The sequence below is a fragment of the Homo sapiens genome, chromosome 7, assembly GCF_000001405.40.
Source record: "Homo sapiens chromosome 7, GRCh38.p14 Primary Assembly".
NCBI lineage: Eukaryota > Metazoa > Chordata > Mammalia > Primates > Hominidae > Homo > Homo sapiens.
The window spans coordinates 14,140,468-14,156,362 of record NC_000007.14 but is presented as its reverse complement, the minus strand read 5'-3'; the positions used below and the strand labels follow the sequence as shown (position 1 = coordinate 14,156,362).

Here is a 15,895-nt window from a genome sequence, read left to right as displayed (position 1 = left end):
ACAGAACATGTTTGCCAACCCCTGAAGCAATATGAATGACTACTTAAATATCATTCAGTAGATCACTCTCTAATATAATAATTCTATATTTAGAATTAAGTTAAATAATTTAACAGTTTATATCACGGACATACAGACCATTGTACCAAACCGAGGCATGCCTCACCTTATTTCATGTAGTTTGAAGGTTTCACCCTAATTAATGGAAGACTGCCTAATTAATAGGCACTCTGAGGACTGATTGGAAATGTTTATATGATAGCACTTCTTTCAGTTTTTCTCCTACCTCTCTGACTGTTTGTATTCTCCTGCTGCACTCTTAAATGGCAGCATTCCCCAGTTACAAAGTCTAACATCTGCTATTCATATATGCCCCACTGGTCTTCAGTAATTTCGTCTCAATTGCTGACATTGTTATAAGATGATCAAACCCAAATCTATCTCAAGACCTGTTCTCCCTTCCGAACACCACATGCACAGACCCAAAAGATACTGAGCATCTCCTTCAGAACGTCACCCTCAACAGTAGGTTCACCAACTTCCTGGTTTTCACCCCTACCAAAAACGCTTCTCTTTCTATAAAAAGCATCACTACACACATTACGAAGACCACAAGCATGGAAATTGCAGTAAAATCTTCCTCTTTTTCCAGTGCCCCACACATCCACTCACCCATCGTATCCTGTACTTCTGCCTCCTCAATCTCTCTTAAATCTGCCTCCACTCTGTTCCCATTGGCACTGCCCTGACTAAAGTCTATTTCACTTCTCTTCTGGATCAAATTAACCTTCCATTTGATCTCCATGCCTCTGGTATGGCACCAGCCCCTAATCTCTGCTGTCAGAGAGATGATGTAACTAAAACTCAGTTTTAATTCTGCCACTGTCCCTCCACCATGATCTAAATGGCATATTTTTTCAATCTTATTGTACCCTGAAAATATCCCTAGCTCAAAGCATATTACAACCTACCATCACATATCTTCTATCATCATTATACTACAAGCACCTCAGTTAGGTTTAAAAATACATATGTATCTATTCAACTTGCAATCCTCCACACTAAAATAAGGTAGGCTGGTACCTAGTACATTAACAATAAAGGTAATTAAAGTTGAGTAAGTTAGGATATTTGTTTTCATGTGTTTTGGGGGCCTAGAAAAAGGGACTTTCATTCATTCATTTATTCAGTTGGTCAGTCAGTCAACAGATTCTTATTGGTCTTGCCACTTAGGAAGAGAAGTAAAATGACAAATAGGCTAGGGCTTCTCAAATTTAAAAGCACAGAGGAATCATCTGGCGTTCTTGTTCGAAAGCAGAATCTGAATCAGAAGATCTGGGGTGGGACCGGGGAGTCTGCATTTCTAACAATGATGTCAGTGTTCCTAGCCTGTGGATCACATTTGGAGAACTAAAACACTAGAGTGCAGGAGAATCACCTGCAGAGGGATTTTTAAAAAGTATTTAGAAGTTGGTACCAAAATAGTATATGCACGTGTAACGAAAAAAAAAAAAAGCAGAATGTATAGACTTGCAAGAAAAATAGCCATCCTGTGTCCTTTTTTCTGTGTCAACAGATCTTCTCATTAGATGCTACCACTTTGATTCTTGGACTATTTCTTCTGATTATTTACTCCATATCTGGAAATACGCTTTGTTGTTTGTTTGTTTTTTTTTTATGGATTAGTTTTAGGTATACTCTACTTACTTAGTGCTATAGAAAGGTGGTTTCTAACACTCTTACATTACTGTATTTACCTCTATTACTCTATTACTAATAGTTAACATTTACTGAGTGCTTTTTTTGTACCAGGTAACAGTCTAAGCATTTCGTGCACATTGATTCATTTAGTCCTTACAAGAAACCAGTGAGACACTATATGAAAAGCTCTACAGTATTGATGAGGGAAATGAATCGTAGTAACTTGCTCAAAGTCCCTAGATAGGAAATGGTGGGCCTAGGCAGCCATTAAGCTGTTCTGCTTCTGAGAAGTATATAATAATTTTGTTTAAATCAATAAAAAATATATAATCATTCAGACTATAAAAATATTGTCAACTGCAGAACCAAGTACTAACCCACGATCACATTTTCTTTCCTGTAAAGCTTCAGAATTTCTTTCTTCTCTCTGCAAAGTGATCCTTACAATAGATCTCATTTTTCTTAAAAAAAAAAAAAAAAAAAAGACAAAACTCTACCATATCAATTTATCTATTATCCACACTCCTTTTGTTTATATGCCAGAAGCCCTTCTCTTTAGGTTTCTGTCTAGCTCTCTTGCAAATCTGTCATCCTGGATCTGAGTTGAATCCTTTGTTTTTTTGACTCGTCTCCTTAGCTCACTCATTTACTTTGCTAGAAAACACCCCAAATACGTTTTAAAGGGTACATAAGAGGCAAATTCTCTAGATACTTTTGTGACTGAAAATGTCTTCATTCTACCCTTGAAGTTAATCAATACATTGACTAAGTATAGAGTTCTCAGATAAAATTAACTTTTCCTCTGGGGTTTGAAGGTGTTTCTTCATTGTCTTCTAGCGCTAATGTTTTTGAAAAGCCTGATGCCATGCTGATTTTTATTTTTCTGTAAGTGACCTATTTTTTTTTCTCTCTGAGGACATTTAGAATCTTCTTTTTATCCCTTCACTTTGAAATTTTACAATAATGTGTGATTTAAGCTAGGCAGGACAGGGATAGAAATTTGATTGGCAAAAAAGAGAGGGAATGCTCTCTAGGGCAATAACTAGCACAAAGGTGCAGAGGTAGGAATTAGCAAGGAGGGCCCAGGAGATTTGAGAGTCAACTATCAAACCCAGCTCTTGCATTTACCCACTTGACTGATGTTATGCAGGTAGCAGAACCCTTTTAAGTCTCTTTGTCCTTCAGTGTAAAATAAGGGTGTTGACAGCTACCTCCCAGAGTTGTTAGGAGGCCAAAATTAGACATTATAAAAGTAAAATTATTTTTAAAATAATTTCAATAGCAGGTACAAGAATTCCTGAAAGAAAATAGATCCACCTCTGTTCTAAACTTAACAGAATGCTTCAATAAATGCTTATGGAAAGGATGTCGAGCGGTTGTTCAGATAACAAAAGAAAGGGAAATGCTACTTTTCATAATAAAGGGTTTGGAAATATTTGATGCTGGAAGACAGGGAAGCAAGAAAGAAATCACCAACGAGCTGAACCAAATACTGTCTGGAAAACTAATCAGGGAAGACCCATCTCTCTTCCCTCTGATTTTAGTTGGGCTGAACAAAGTCTTTGAAGAGAACACAAATATCTGGGGAATAAACATTATTTGCTATGTGCTGTGAGATACAAATACCCTCTTCTATCCCTTTTATGAAATTCTACTTCAGTTTTGCACTCTTCTCTGATAATATGTTTTATGGGAGTGGACTTTGAGGGCAGCTCAAAGAGGTGGATGAAATAGGGGGCACCTGAATAACGTGTGTAAAACACTTAGCAAAATGCTCAGCACACAGTAAGAGCCAGATCAACGTTATTTTTTATTCTGGCTGTTATTCTTAACATTACAACTATGAGGTGGAACTATCACAACTATCAAACTATGCAACCTTAAAAATGTAATAGAAATAAGAAGATGAAGACTATGCTTTGTAATCTTTGATTCTGTTACTGGTTTCTATATGTGCATCCTTATTTCATATTGAATAATTATAAAAGTGAAACTGAACCCACATTTTTCGTATTTATAGTTTTTGAAGTGGCCAGTCTTAATTTGAAACAGGAAGACAGAAGTAGAAATAGTCATGGGCAGTGGAAGAACCTTTCTCTGCCACTGTTGCTTTTCTAGAAGGGTACATGATAAGGAGAAGGAAGAGTTTTATAGGAGGACACCATTCTGTATCTGATAGAATTTACCTTGCATGTTGTAAGCAATGCTCTTCTACCGTCATGGAACCATTGCAGTTTCTAGGAGCCCCGTCACCACTGTTTATGAGTGCCCAGTATCCTCTTTCAAATAATAATGTCAGAGTCTCTTAGAAACTAAACAACCAAAATCATGTTGCAAAATGCCTTGTTCACAGCCAGTGCCCCCAAAATATTTGATGTATCAAGGAATAACTGAGAAGTAATTACCTGACGCTTAATAGAAGGAGGCACTCAAAGGCCATTTGGTTCATGTCCTCAGATTGCTGAAACTTAATATATTCTAAATTCTTTGGGGATAAAATTTTTACTCATTGTTATTTCTCTAGTGGATAGAAAATTAAGAGTAATAAAAAAAGCAAGAATGTTCAATGTATACAAAACAGGCATCAGAGTCATAATTACAGGCCCTGTTAACCCCCCGTAACCAGGATTTTCCCACATGAGCAACCTGAGTCTGAGGGTTCACTTGAGTCTCTGCAGCTTCCTAGAGCCTACACCTGGAATTTCTGTAACTGTGACACCGACAATCCATGTGGCTTGGAATTACTCTCGTAGGATTTTGCTTCTGCCCAAATATACCAAGACATGTAAATATCCAATGAAATAAGGCATGTGAAGAGACAGCATTCATAATAGGCATTTACTGAATGCTAGTTTCCTCCATGTGGTCTCCCCTAACAAAGAAGAAAATACAACCAATTGGTTCTCGTTTCCATAAACAACAGACAAAAAGGATGTGGATTTCATTTTTTGCAGAAATAAAGTTAGAGTAAAGAAACAGTTGTGTACTTTGACTGTAGAAATGATTAAACAAGCAAGAAGACAGGTTACATATAATTTTTAAAATAGTACTGGCCATTATTCTGATTAGTGACTGCAAACTAGAACTTGTGTTTTACTTAGTCACATAGATTAAAGGTCCCATTGTGTCAAGAGCACTGAATGAGATACTGTGCTATTTTTTCAAAGGCATAAAATCATGTAATTTTTTTTTTTAAAAAGTTTTTAATATAAGAATAGTCATAAACAAAATTTATATGCCCCCGCCAAAAAAAAACACAGAGAAGAAGCTAAGTCTTATAGATAATAATTATGTGACATTTTGGTTATGCTTTGTCATAAATTGATACTAACATATATATATAAATGGCTAGGAAGATATATTTCTTTCATAGTCTTAACAACTATTTGGAAATAATGATCTAATTTCCCAAAATGCCCTAATGCTATTATACCGTGTAAAGCATTTAGTCCAGAAATTATGAACCCGAAATCTCAACCTTCTTACTTTAGCTCTTAATGTTCTGTTTGAATCTAAGGTTATCATGTAAGTAATATGTGATAACTGCTTTCCCAGTACTCATTTAAAAATGACATTTGTGCGTAAAATGATTCATTTTCATTTTCAATGTTCAAAAATAGTGCCTTTCTGCTTAGCCTCCCATTTCAGCATCTGTAACACCATTCAATGTGCTTGTTCAATTTATCTTTCCTGCTAGATTATAATTTCTTGGGGGCAGAGCTTGTATATTGTCTATTTATTCAAAGTTCCTGATACAGTATCTGAAGCATAGTAGGGGCTGAACAAATTTTGTGAAATGAATAAATGATGAATGATGCAGTATTAGACCCTGTCTACAGCTAGAATTTCAGAGGAGTTTAAATCTCAATGACATAAGGTACAGTATACTCTAATGCTGACTTATTGAGAGAAAATCTGATATAGATCATTTTCAATCTACATAGTTAAGTGCATTCTGGTGTCTTAACTATCCAACTATCAATTCCCTAGTTCATAAGATAACAAAAATAAGATGAAGTCAGATATCCATAGAGTTTGAGGCTGGGTTAGCCTTAGTGGCCTTTTACAGGTGCAATTTATTTTTGCAGGAAAGAGAACACTGAATCCTTCCAGAATAACCTGATTCCAGCAGACTTAAATAAAGTTGTTCATTCTTTCAAGGTTTTTCACATACTTCTGTCTTTCTAGACTGTGAAGTAAATTTCCATTTCCCAAAAGCCCCACTGCAGATTTTAATGATCCTGTCCACGTGATGTACATTTTTTTGTTTCATTGCTATTAGTGAATGACAAGTGAAGGATATTCATTTTAACTTGAAAATGTCAGGTATGCACTTTAAGAGATATATTTTTTGCAGCTTTTAATGAGGTGGTGCTTCTTTTTGAAAGAAATACTCATCTCTGATGCGAATGCTGTGCAGGTGACAACTGATATTTAATAAGCGATGGTTCTTGTATTAGTCGCAGTTCGCTAAAGAAAATGTCTCAGATTGCTTTTGAAAAACTCTTAGCGTCACTAGCCCAAAGGCAAGATGTGACCTTTTTATTACATAATGAGAATCATTTATTATCTTACAATGTATCTTAAAGTCACAGACAAAATGCCACTTTGATAATTGCTTTCAATTAGCTTTGAGCATAGCATATATTCATAAAATGTCTTCTCTAATTTAGAGTCGAATTAGAGAAAATTGCAGACGTAATCTACTTTAAGGTTGTCTCATTTAAGGTGATTCGTAGTTTTATATCAAAGAAATCAAAACGAGTAGCTTTAGAACAGTCTCTCAAAGTGTTTTAAGCAGGCTTTTCAATATTTGATTCTATTATATTACCAATTAATTAACAAATTAGAAAGCTAGTTCATCATTTCTGACCTTTTATGCATGTTAACTTTTAACTTTCATTTCTAATGACTGTTTGGAAATTAAGCCTTGCAGTTCATGTTGAAAGAGAGAAACAATCTGATTAGCAAGATAAATAAGGCTTGCCTTGATACCAAGTACATCTTGATATTGGGCTGTAACTAGGACTCTGGAAACTATAATGGTGCCTTCTTTCCTGACTTCAATAAATGATACGTAACTAATGGTCAAGAAATAATACTGGATAATCATGTAACCTAAGCAAGCAGTTCTGGAATATTGCTACAAGTGAGGTTAGAGGTAACATACTATTTAAAATGCAACTTCAGATAATTTTTAAAATTATTATCCTGAGCACTGGGATATTATTTAAGTACATATCCCTATCTCCCTTAAAAATATTTTTGAAATAATAGAAACTCTGAAATTACATTTTACACTTGCGGTGTTTCAGTCACTCATGAAATATTATTAACCTTAACAGAGAGTCTCACAAATTGGTATTGTATCTATCTGGAGATTACTCTATTCTTTCTCTCTCTCTCTCTCTCTTTTTTTCTAGATAAAAATTACACACAAGAACCAAGCCCCAATGCTGATGGGCCCGCCTCCAAAAACCGGTTTATTCTGCTCCCTCGTCAAAAGGACAAGAAACCGAAGCAAGGAATAATCCTGTGTTGTTTCACTCTTAGAAATTGAATTAGCATAATTGGGCCATGGAACACATATGCTGGAAATCTTTGAACCATTTCAAGTCTCCTGCTCATGCAAAATCATGGAAGTGGTTTAACAGTTTTTGTTACTAAGCTAATGTAAAATTCAGCTATTAGAAAATTTATTGTCTCAGTTTTTATAGGCATCTTTGCATGAAGAAAGCAGAAGTTTACCTGAAGTGATACTGCATATTTTTGGTGCATGCATTCCCATAGATTTTTACATCTCCCACCCAACTCTTCCCCAATTTCCTTTTACTAACCTGTGAGAAAAACCCGTGAAACATGAAAAAGGAAATACCATGGGAAACGTGATTCTCAGTGTGATTCCAATTATTACGAAGCACTAATCAGTAACGCTACAATGATCATAATTGCAGATTGCTATACGTTTCCCTTTTAGAATCAGTGTATCAGTGACCTATGACTTGAGGAGAAACTTTTAATTCGAAGATTTTATTAAATAGTTGACTACAATACCTTGCTATATATACATAGTTTTTCTTCAACATCTTAACTCTTCTGAGTGGAAATAAAAATATCAGGCATAAGGTTTTCTCATGCTGAAAAATAGAACGCGGTTTTTATTTTGCTTAGTTTTCTTTTTAATTCCAGAAATAAGTGAAAACATGTTACTTGACAGTCAAGTGTGGTAATATGGCAAGCCTTGTTCCTTTCTGCATGAGAATCTAGGAGAGAATTCATAACCACACCAATAACGAAATAGAAGTTTTAAACTATGTGCCTAATCAATGTGTTTCCCACCAAAGATTCAGAAAACAATGCTTGAGAGAAATGGGTTAATGCATAATTAATTAAGCATTGTGGAGCAAATTTAGGGTTCCTGTGATTAATTTTGTGATGACTAAAATGCTGGAAAGCGAGTGAGTTGCCCATTAATTATGATTAAAATTCTCACCTTTCACAGACAGACAATAAGCCAGACAACACAATCAAAGCTCAATAGATGATTTCTTGCTTTTTTCAGTCATTTATAAATATAGGTGTAATTTTTCATGGATCAGTTAAGTACACTTGAAGGAAGTAAATGATTGTATCAGTTTATTTCTAGTATAAATGGGTACCTGTAATAATACTGAGCTCTTGGAAGCGAATCATGCATGCAATTAGCTCCCTCCTCCTCACCTACTCCACTCCCATCTTTATGACATTTCAAATGTTTATTTGGAAACAACAGCCTAGATCACTGTTGAAGGTGTTCATGGCATAGTTGGAGTCTCTGACTGTTTAAAGAAATCACAGAACAGTACTTTTCTTTTAGTGTTTCATTAAGCCTATGATGTAAAATGAAATGCTTCTGAGCAGTCTTGTAATATTGTTCATTCATATTGACCTGCATCTCATCATTGCATGTTTTATGTTTTCAAACATGCCATAAGGAAAACGAGTGCCTGAACTGCATGATTTATTAGTTTCTCTCCACTCTGCATTAAAGTGCTAATGATTTATCGGTTCTATTTTGTTATTGATTCATTCATCTTTCTTTGAATAACAAATAGCATTTAGTGATTCTGTTGAACACAATCCTGTGCATGGATTTATGGATTTCAAGTGAAATTGCTATAATTTTAGTTCTTTGGTTTGAAAACTCAACTGAATGCTGTTATATCAAATAGCTGCTCTCAAGCAATGTGCTATAATGGAAGATTACGTACAAAGTGTATTCTTTTAGTGTTCCTGGAACATTGGACGGTAAATATCAATCAACAATAAGCTTAATTACTTTAAAAATAAAAGCTTTTGAATAAAATTAAGACATAATTTAGCATTCCCAGGAAAATTATGATTACAATTGCAAATTTAGTACAGCAATCACTTGCGCTGGTATAAAATAAAAAAGTTGTTTGGCAGAAGAGTAATCCAGACCAAAAGAAAGAAAGAAATCTCAAAACAGTAACAAGTACATTACTGACATAATGTTACGTAACACACACATTGATTTTTTGTATCTATGGTTGCAGGTAATAAATATTTTCACATGAATTGACAAAATTTTCTACAATGGGCAGGCAGGCTTTGTGTCAAAAACATATTTTGAAGCCACAAATTATTTTATGTTCGCTACAACATACAATTATGTCTTGGCTACCTTTTATAGTATATAGTTTGAAGGCAGCAACAGTTTGTGAATCATTCTTAACAATCTGTACAGTAGAAAGCTGTTGGATAGACAGTGGGATGAGACAAATTAAACAACCTGCTTATAAGATTTCAATGATTGAAATAATGGGATGCAGCTTCACTTCAGTGTAGCTGTATAACTACAATTAGTGCTAATAGTGGTTACATTTTCAGTCAGATGGATTCTTTGGTACCCATAATAAATGTTCAAATAGGAATCCAATTTGACTTTTCTCAACTCATTTTCTAAATACACTGATGTACTTGCCCCTTCAAGTATACTGCCCCTGGGGTTTGGAAAGTAGTTTTTAAAAACGTAACTTGATGGGTTTGAAATCAGAGAAGATATTCTCATCAGTTTTATGACAGCTTCATATGAAAAATATATAGTTTAAGGAAAATTCTATAGTATATTAAAATATTGAATGATGAATGTTGTTAGCTTTACAAGATGGAAACTTCTCTTCTATGTGTGCAGATAAATTTTCAGCTATTGAGTCGCCCTCTTTTAATATAGGAGACATAAAGTTTTAAGTGGCTGAAACTCTTAAATGTAAATTAATGCTGGACTTAACAGCAGTCAGAAACAAAGAGGGAAAAGAGACATGCACTCTGCTAAACATTGCTAGGCACTGAGTTGATGAGATTCCAGAGAGACATTTCAGAGTAAACCTTGATATCCACGCTTCTAAGAGATAGGAAGGGAGGTATCTACATAGAACCAGAAAGTTTAAAAGACGTAAATTTATTTTTTCCACTTCCTTGTGTACACCATGTATTTCATGTGAAAATGCTGATCAATTTATTGTGGTGGAAGGAGATATCTTGCAGGAAGTTTAAAAATTAACATTTTAAAACAGTTTTTATTTTATTTAAAACAGGTTCATGTGATCATAGCCAGAATAAAACAAAAGGCTCAGATGTTTAGCCTAGTCTACTGCAGACAGAAATTTAAATCCAGTGAGGGCTAATGAATCACATACGTGTTTCCACATTTTATTTTGTTTTCGTTTTTTAGGCATATGGGAAGTAGTTGCAATTTTTCAGGGAAGAATATGTTTTGAATCTCACACTGTATTCTCCTTGAATCTCACACTGTATTCTTGAATGAGACAAGATTTTGAGATCATTCTTTTCCTTTTTGTGTCAACGTTAGTTTGTTGTTCATTGGTTATAAAAAGGAAAATGTGGCCAGGCGCAATGGCTTACGCCTGTAATCCCAGCACTTTGGGAGACAGAGGCAGGCAGATCACAAGGTCAGGAGTTCAAGACCAGCCTGGCCAATATGGTGAAACCTCGTCTCTACTAAAAATACAAAAATTAGCCAGGCATGGTGGCACATGCCTGTAATCCCAGCTACTCGGGAGGCTGAGGCAGAAGAATTGCTTGAACTCGGGAGGCTGCGGTTGCAGTGAGCCAAGATCACACCACTGCACTCCAGCCTGGGTGACAGAGCCAGACTCTGTCTCAAAAAAAAAAAGGAAAATGTACTTTTCATGGCACGTATAACCCCCAAAGGATTATTCAATACTGAACAATTAAATAATAATTGAATAATATTGAATCATGTTCTCCGTTATTTTTCAAATAACTGAATAATATCTCTATTAAAAGATTAAACCCTTGTAACATATATTAAAGCTGTAAACTTTAAGAAAATAAATAAATAAAACCCTGTAAAAGAGCTTTTATTTTGTGAGAGGCAGAAATCACCACTTAAAACTCCCAATTAAATTCTGCTATATTTAAATAAAGTTTGAGTAAACTCACATTTGAGAGATTCTGTATAACCTTATTGTGTTTAAAAACATGGAACTTAATTATAGTACCTTAATTATTTTCTCAGAAATGATATATACAATATCCTGTTTTTTGAAATAAAAACGTTAACCACTCAGTTCAGTGTCATTTCTTACTGCCATTTTGGACAGATTTTGTCTCTTAAATGAACTCCTCCAGCAGCTCAACAATCCATCTACCCCACTGAATATATCCACTAGGGATATGAGGCCAGACACCCTACCTTTTGTCAGGGAGTAATTAGGGACTGAATTATAGGCAATTAAGAACCAAATTATTCCAATTTGTGGTGCTTTGGGCCCCAGGTTGCTGCTGTGCATATTATTCCAGCAATTTTAGATTCCAAGTAAGCCAGCAACCTGAATGATGTAACTGTGGGAAAGCGAGTTGAATTTTCTGGATGAAACCAATTTCTTATTTTATTTTGTGTGACAGACTTCAACAAATATCTCTTGGGCACTGACTAGGTTAAACATATTATGCAAAGGGGCTGCAGCAATTAAAAGATGTTTAAGGAAACAATTTCTTCTCTAAACACCTTTGAATCTTTTAGAAGAATTAAGTAAACGGATGACCATATTACACAATTGGATAAGGGAAGAATGAAGGTAAGTAAAATATGATACGACATAGTCAAAGGAGGAAAAGATGATTTGGTGAATAAATTTGAAAAGGCCTTTAGAGAAAGTAAATCTGCAAGTGACTTTTTGAAAAGCTAAAACTTTACATGAGGAAAGAAGTCAAATTAAGGAAACTCATAATAAGAGAAGGCGAATGGGAGCAGGGAAACAGAAAACAAGTCCTAAATTCCTCACTGACTCATCTCATAAAAAAGGGAATTTACAGATGAATGATTTGGATAATGCTTATACTTAAAATTATTAGCTAAACAAACAAGGAACAAGAGAAGAAGAAAGTACAGGAAAGAGGCAAGGGAGCAAGTAAGAGAGGGAAGGAGAAAGAATAACACAAACCCCCCAGATTAGAAAACTAATTTTACATTCTGAAAGAGAAAAAAAATGAAAAAAAAAAATTCCCAGGTATTTTGGCTTGAAAACTCTGAAAGCAATATCTGCCCATTCTACATTTCCAGGGAGTTTGATTAGATTATATTCTGTGAATGTAAGTGACTTCATAAACTCTCTGAAGCTCATGAAACTAACTAGAGAACACTAACTGTAAAATGTTGATGCTAAGTTTTTAAAAAAATTAAGTATGAAAAATACATATAAAATAATATGTTAAAAAATTATAATAGAATATTAAATCTTTCCAACAAATTACAACTGGTGGCACAGTCACTAGCAGGTCCAAAAAGCTCTCTCTCTTTTACTCCATATTTGTATCCAAACATTCATTCCTTGAAGTCAGTTGATCTCAGAAAAACATTTCTGTTTAAAATAGTATTGGTAATAATAATCCTTAAATTACCAAGGACTTGATAATATATTGGTTGAAAAATTAGAAACCATGTTTGAGCTGAAAGACTGCCCACTGTTGGCCAGGCGCGGTGGCTCACGCCTGTAATCCCAGCACTTTGAGAGGCCGAGGCAGGCGGATCACAAGGTCAGGAGTTTGAGACCAGCCTGGCCAACATGGTGAAACCCTGTCTCTACTAAAAATACGAAAAATCAGCCAGGTGTGGTGGCACGTGCCTATAGTCCCAGCTACTCAAGAGGCTGAGGCACAAGAATCGTCTGAACCTGGGAGGCAGAGGTTGCAGTGAGCCGAGATCATACCACTGCACTACTCCAGCCTGAGTGACAGAGTGAGACTCTGACTCAAAAAAAAAAAAAAAAAAAAAAAAAAAAGAAGATTGCCTAGTATGTATATTTTTTCTACTGTAGCTGCATTTTTAAGATCTTCCACCTTCAAGTAGCACGTAGTGCTTCTACATCTTTTTTGCCACTCAACTCAAAAAGAGATGGGACTTTACAGTCTCACAAAACTTTCTTTCAACATTGTGTGAAAAGGTCGAAGACCACCCCATGGTGCATCTCCCAATGCCTTCTGAGCTTCGCAGTTGAGGGCAGCATACTGACATGTTTCAGCATGAGGGCTCTGGTGCCAGACCTGAGTACAACTCTTGGATCTGCTGCTCACTTCCTGTGTGACCTCAGGCAAGTCATTTAAGATCCCTGAGCCTCAGTTTTCTCAACTGTGAAGTTGAAATATGTATTGAAAATTAAATAAATTAATACATCAAATAATTTAGAGCAGTTCTGGCATGTAGACGTTAATATGCCAGGCCTGAGCGTGTGGTATAGCAGGACAATAAAAATCCATAGTGCAGAAGATCTTATTCTGTTCTGTAAAAACAGTTGACAAATGGTTGGTGTTTATCTGTTAGAAAACTAGTAGTCAACTTCAGGTTCAAAATAATTTGTCATTGTATGTTCAGGTTATGTATGTAGCATTAGACTCTCCCTAAACTAATTCCCTCACAAAATGATCTGGACATAGGCATATATGTCACAATAACCTCCTACAATCTCTAAATCTGAGCAAATGTTATTAGACCACCAAGAGAATTCTACAGTTGTACAACTTCATAGCATTTTGAGAATTAAAATAATATATCATCATCATGAGACACACCACCAGAATCCATGGCCACTGTCCAAAGGCATGCCTTTCTTGAAGTCTCCATTAAATTTGTATTCATATTCTTCTCTGTGCTTCTCCCTCCACCCCACACATCATCCTTCAAACCCAAATTAGTTTTATCCAAATTTCATTGTCAACACTCAAAATCTGCAATGAGTGCGCATCTTACCTCTGACATTCCTTAGACTCACCTCTCTTTGGAAAACACCAGGACCTATAATAGTTGATTGGTGCTCAGGCCTGTCAGATCCCAAAAGCCCCACATCATTGGTATTGCTTTTGCCAGTCTTTCCTCCCACTAACCCACCCAGCAGGGATCCAGAAAGCTCCCCTTGTTCCTGCTATACCACACACCCAGGCCTGGAAGGCCCTGTCTATAGCCAATTACACCTCCATGGCTCCCACACACTGGTGTCTTTCTTATTTGCCCCTGGTCAGACACCAGCAAGGGCATCAGCAGGCTTCACCCTGCCAGCCAGCATTTCTCCATAGTTGCCCTCTGAAGTGCTCTGGTAGAAACTGCAGAATCCATGGACTTCATGGACTTTAGGCTGTGCGAAACCAGAGGAGAGGCTGGAAAAGTAGGAGGGCAGGCAGTAAGGAGAGGCCACTGTGGCATAAGCAGGGCCACCGAGCTACAAAAAGGAGGCCGCGGTGGATAGAGAAGGCCAGTGGAGCAGTATGGAATCAGGGGTGGCCCCTCACAGGTATCCTATATTGTACTATCCTGACGAATTACCCCTCCACTTCAGTGGACAAGTTTGTTGAAACCCACCAAAACCTCACTCATCACAGGCATTGACAATGTTAATTTTAGTAATAAAAGCAGAAGCCGATGTTTATATAGTGCTTGCTTTGTTCCAGGCATGATGCTACACATAAATGAACTCACTCGAGTTCTATAATTATCAACTCCATTTGCATTTCACACATGAGAAAACTGAGGTCCACAGATATCATTTGGAACTTCTAGTTAATCTCATGGAAGTAAAAAGTAGAACAGAGGATACTAGATGCTGGGAAGGGAGAGATAGAGGGAGAGGTTTGTTAAAGGATACAAAATTACAGCTAGATAAAGGGAATAAGTTCCAGTGTTCCATACCACTGTAGGATGACTATAGCTAACAATGATATATTATGCACATTCAGATAGCTCAAAAGAGGATATTAAATATTTCCTACACAAATAAATAAATGTTTGAGATGATGGATATGCTAATTACACTGATCTGATCACTATACATTATATGTATCAAAACATCACTATGTACCCCATGAATATGTACAATTATTCTTGGTCAATTAAAAAATTAAAACTAAAAAAAGAAAAACCCTTCTCTGACAGAGTCAGTAATGGAGCCCGGAAAAGCAACAACAGATCGTCTTTTCATAATCACCACGATACACCCATCTTTCACCTGGCCTGAAAGATTAGGTTAAATGTAACATGATAATAAACTATATTTATTACTTAACTTGTAACAGAAATATTAAACAATAAAATTCTCATCTCACAGTATGAGTAGAAAAAATTGATTCAATTGTTACTAATACAGCAATTGCCACAAGAAGATTCAAGGCCATGAACAATATCACTGATGTTAAACGGACATTATTGAAACTCAGAATAACCTAATGACTATCAATGTAATAGAGAAGTTGTTGGTGATGTTTCTTAATGTCAAAACACAGCTCAGAGGCAAGTGGTACTCATCTGGCAATAACCACATCAAATAAAAGATCACATCAGCAACTTTTGTATTGTAACAAGTACTTTTAAAATCATTACAATGATTTGATGGATTACTTGCACTCAAATGATAAAATGTATATCATTTGAGAAACAGATAGATCAATGGATAGAAGGATAGATGAATAGATAATTTTCTTTTGAGAATTAAAAAAAATAAAAACACTTTTGATTCATAAATTCATTTATATTGTTATGTAGGCCAGGGGTCCCCAACCCTGGGGCCATGGATCGGTATCAGTCCACGGCCTATTAGGATCCAAGCTGAACAGCAGGAGGTGAGCAGCAGACAAGCAAGCATTACTGCCTGAGCTCCACCTC

The 15,895-nt window shown here is 35.9% G+C and overlaps 1 protein-coding gene across 20 annotated transcripts in view; it reads left to right on the top strand.

Moving 5' to 3' along the window:
* The window catches only part of DGKB (diacylglycerol kinase beta), an 829,810-nt gene extending 818,496 nt beyond the window's left edge, over positions 1-11,314 (top strand). For all 20 annotated transcript variants that reach the window (NM_001350722.2, NM_001350711.2, NM_001350717.2 and 17 more), the window contains one exon: positions 7,125-11,314. In NM_001350722.2, coding sequence (NP_001337651.1) covers positions 7,125-7,232 — 108 coding nt within the window. In that variant the 3' untranslated portion in view covers positions 7,233-11,314. The remainder of the gene's footprint in view (positions 1-7,124) is intronic.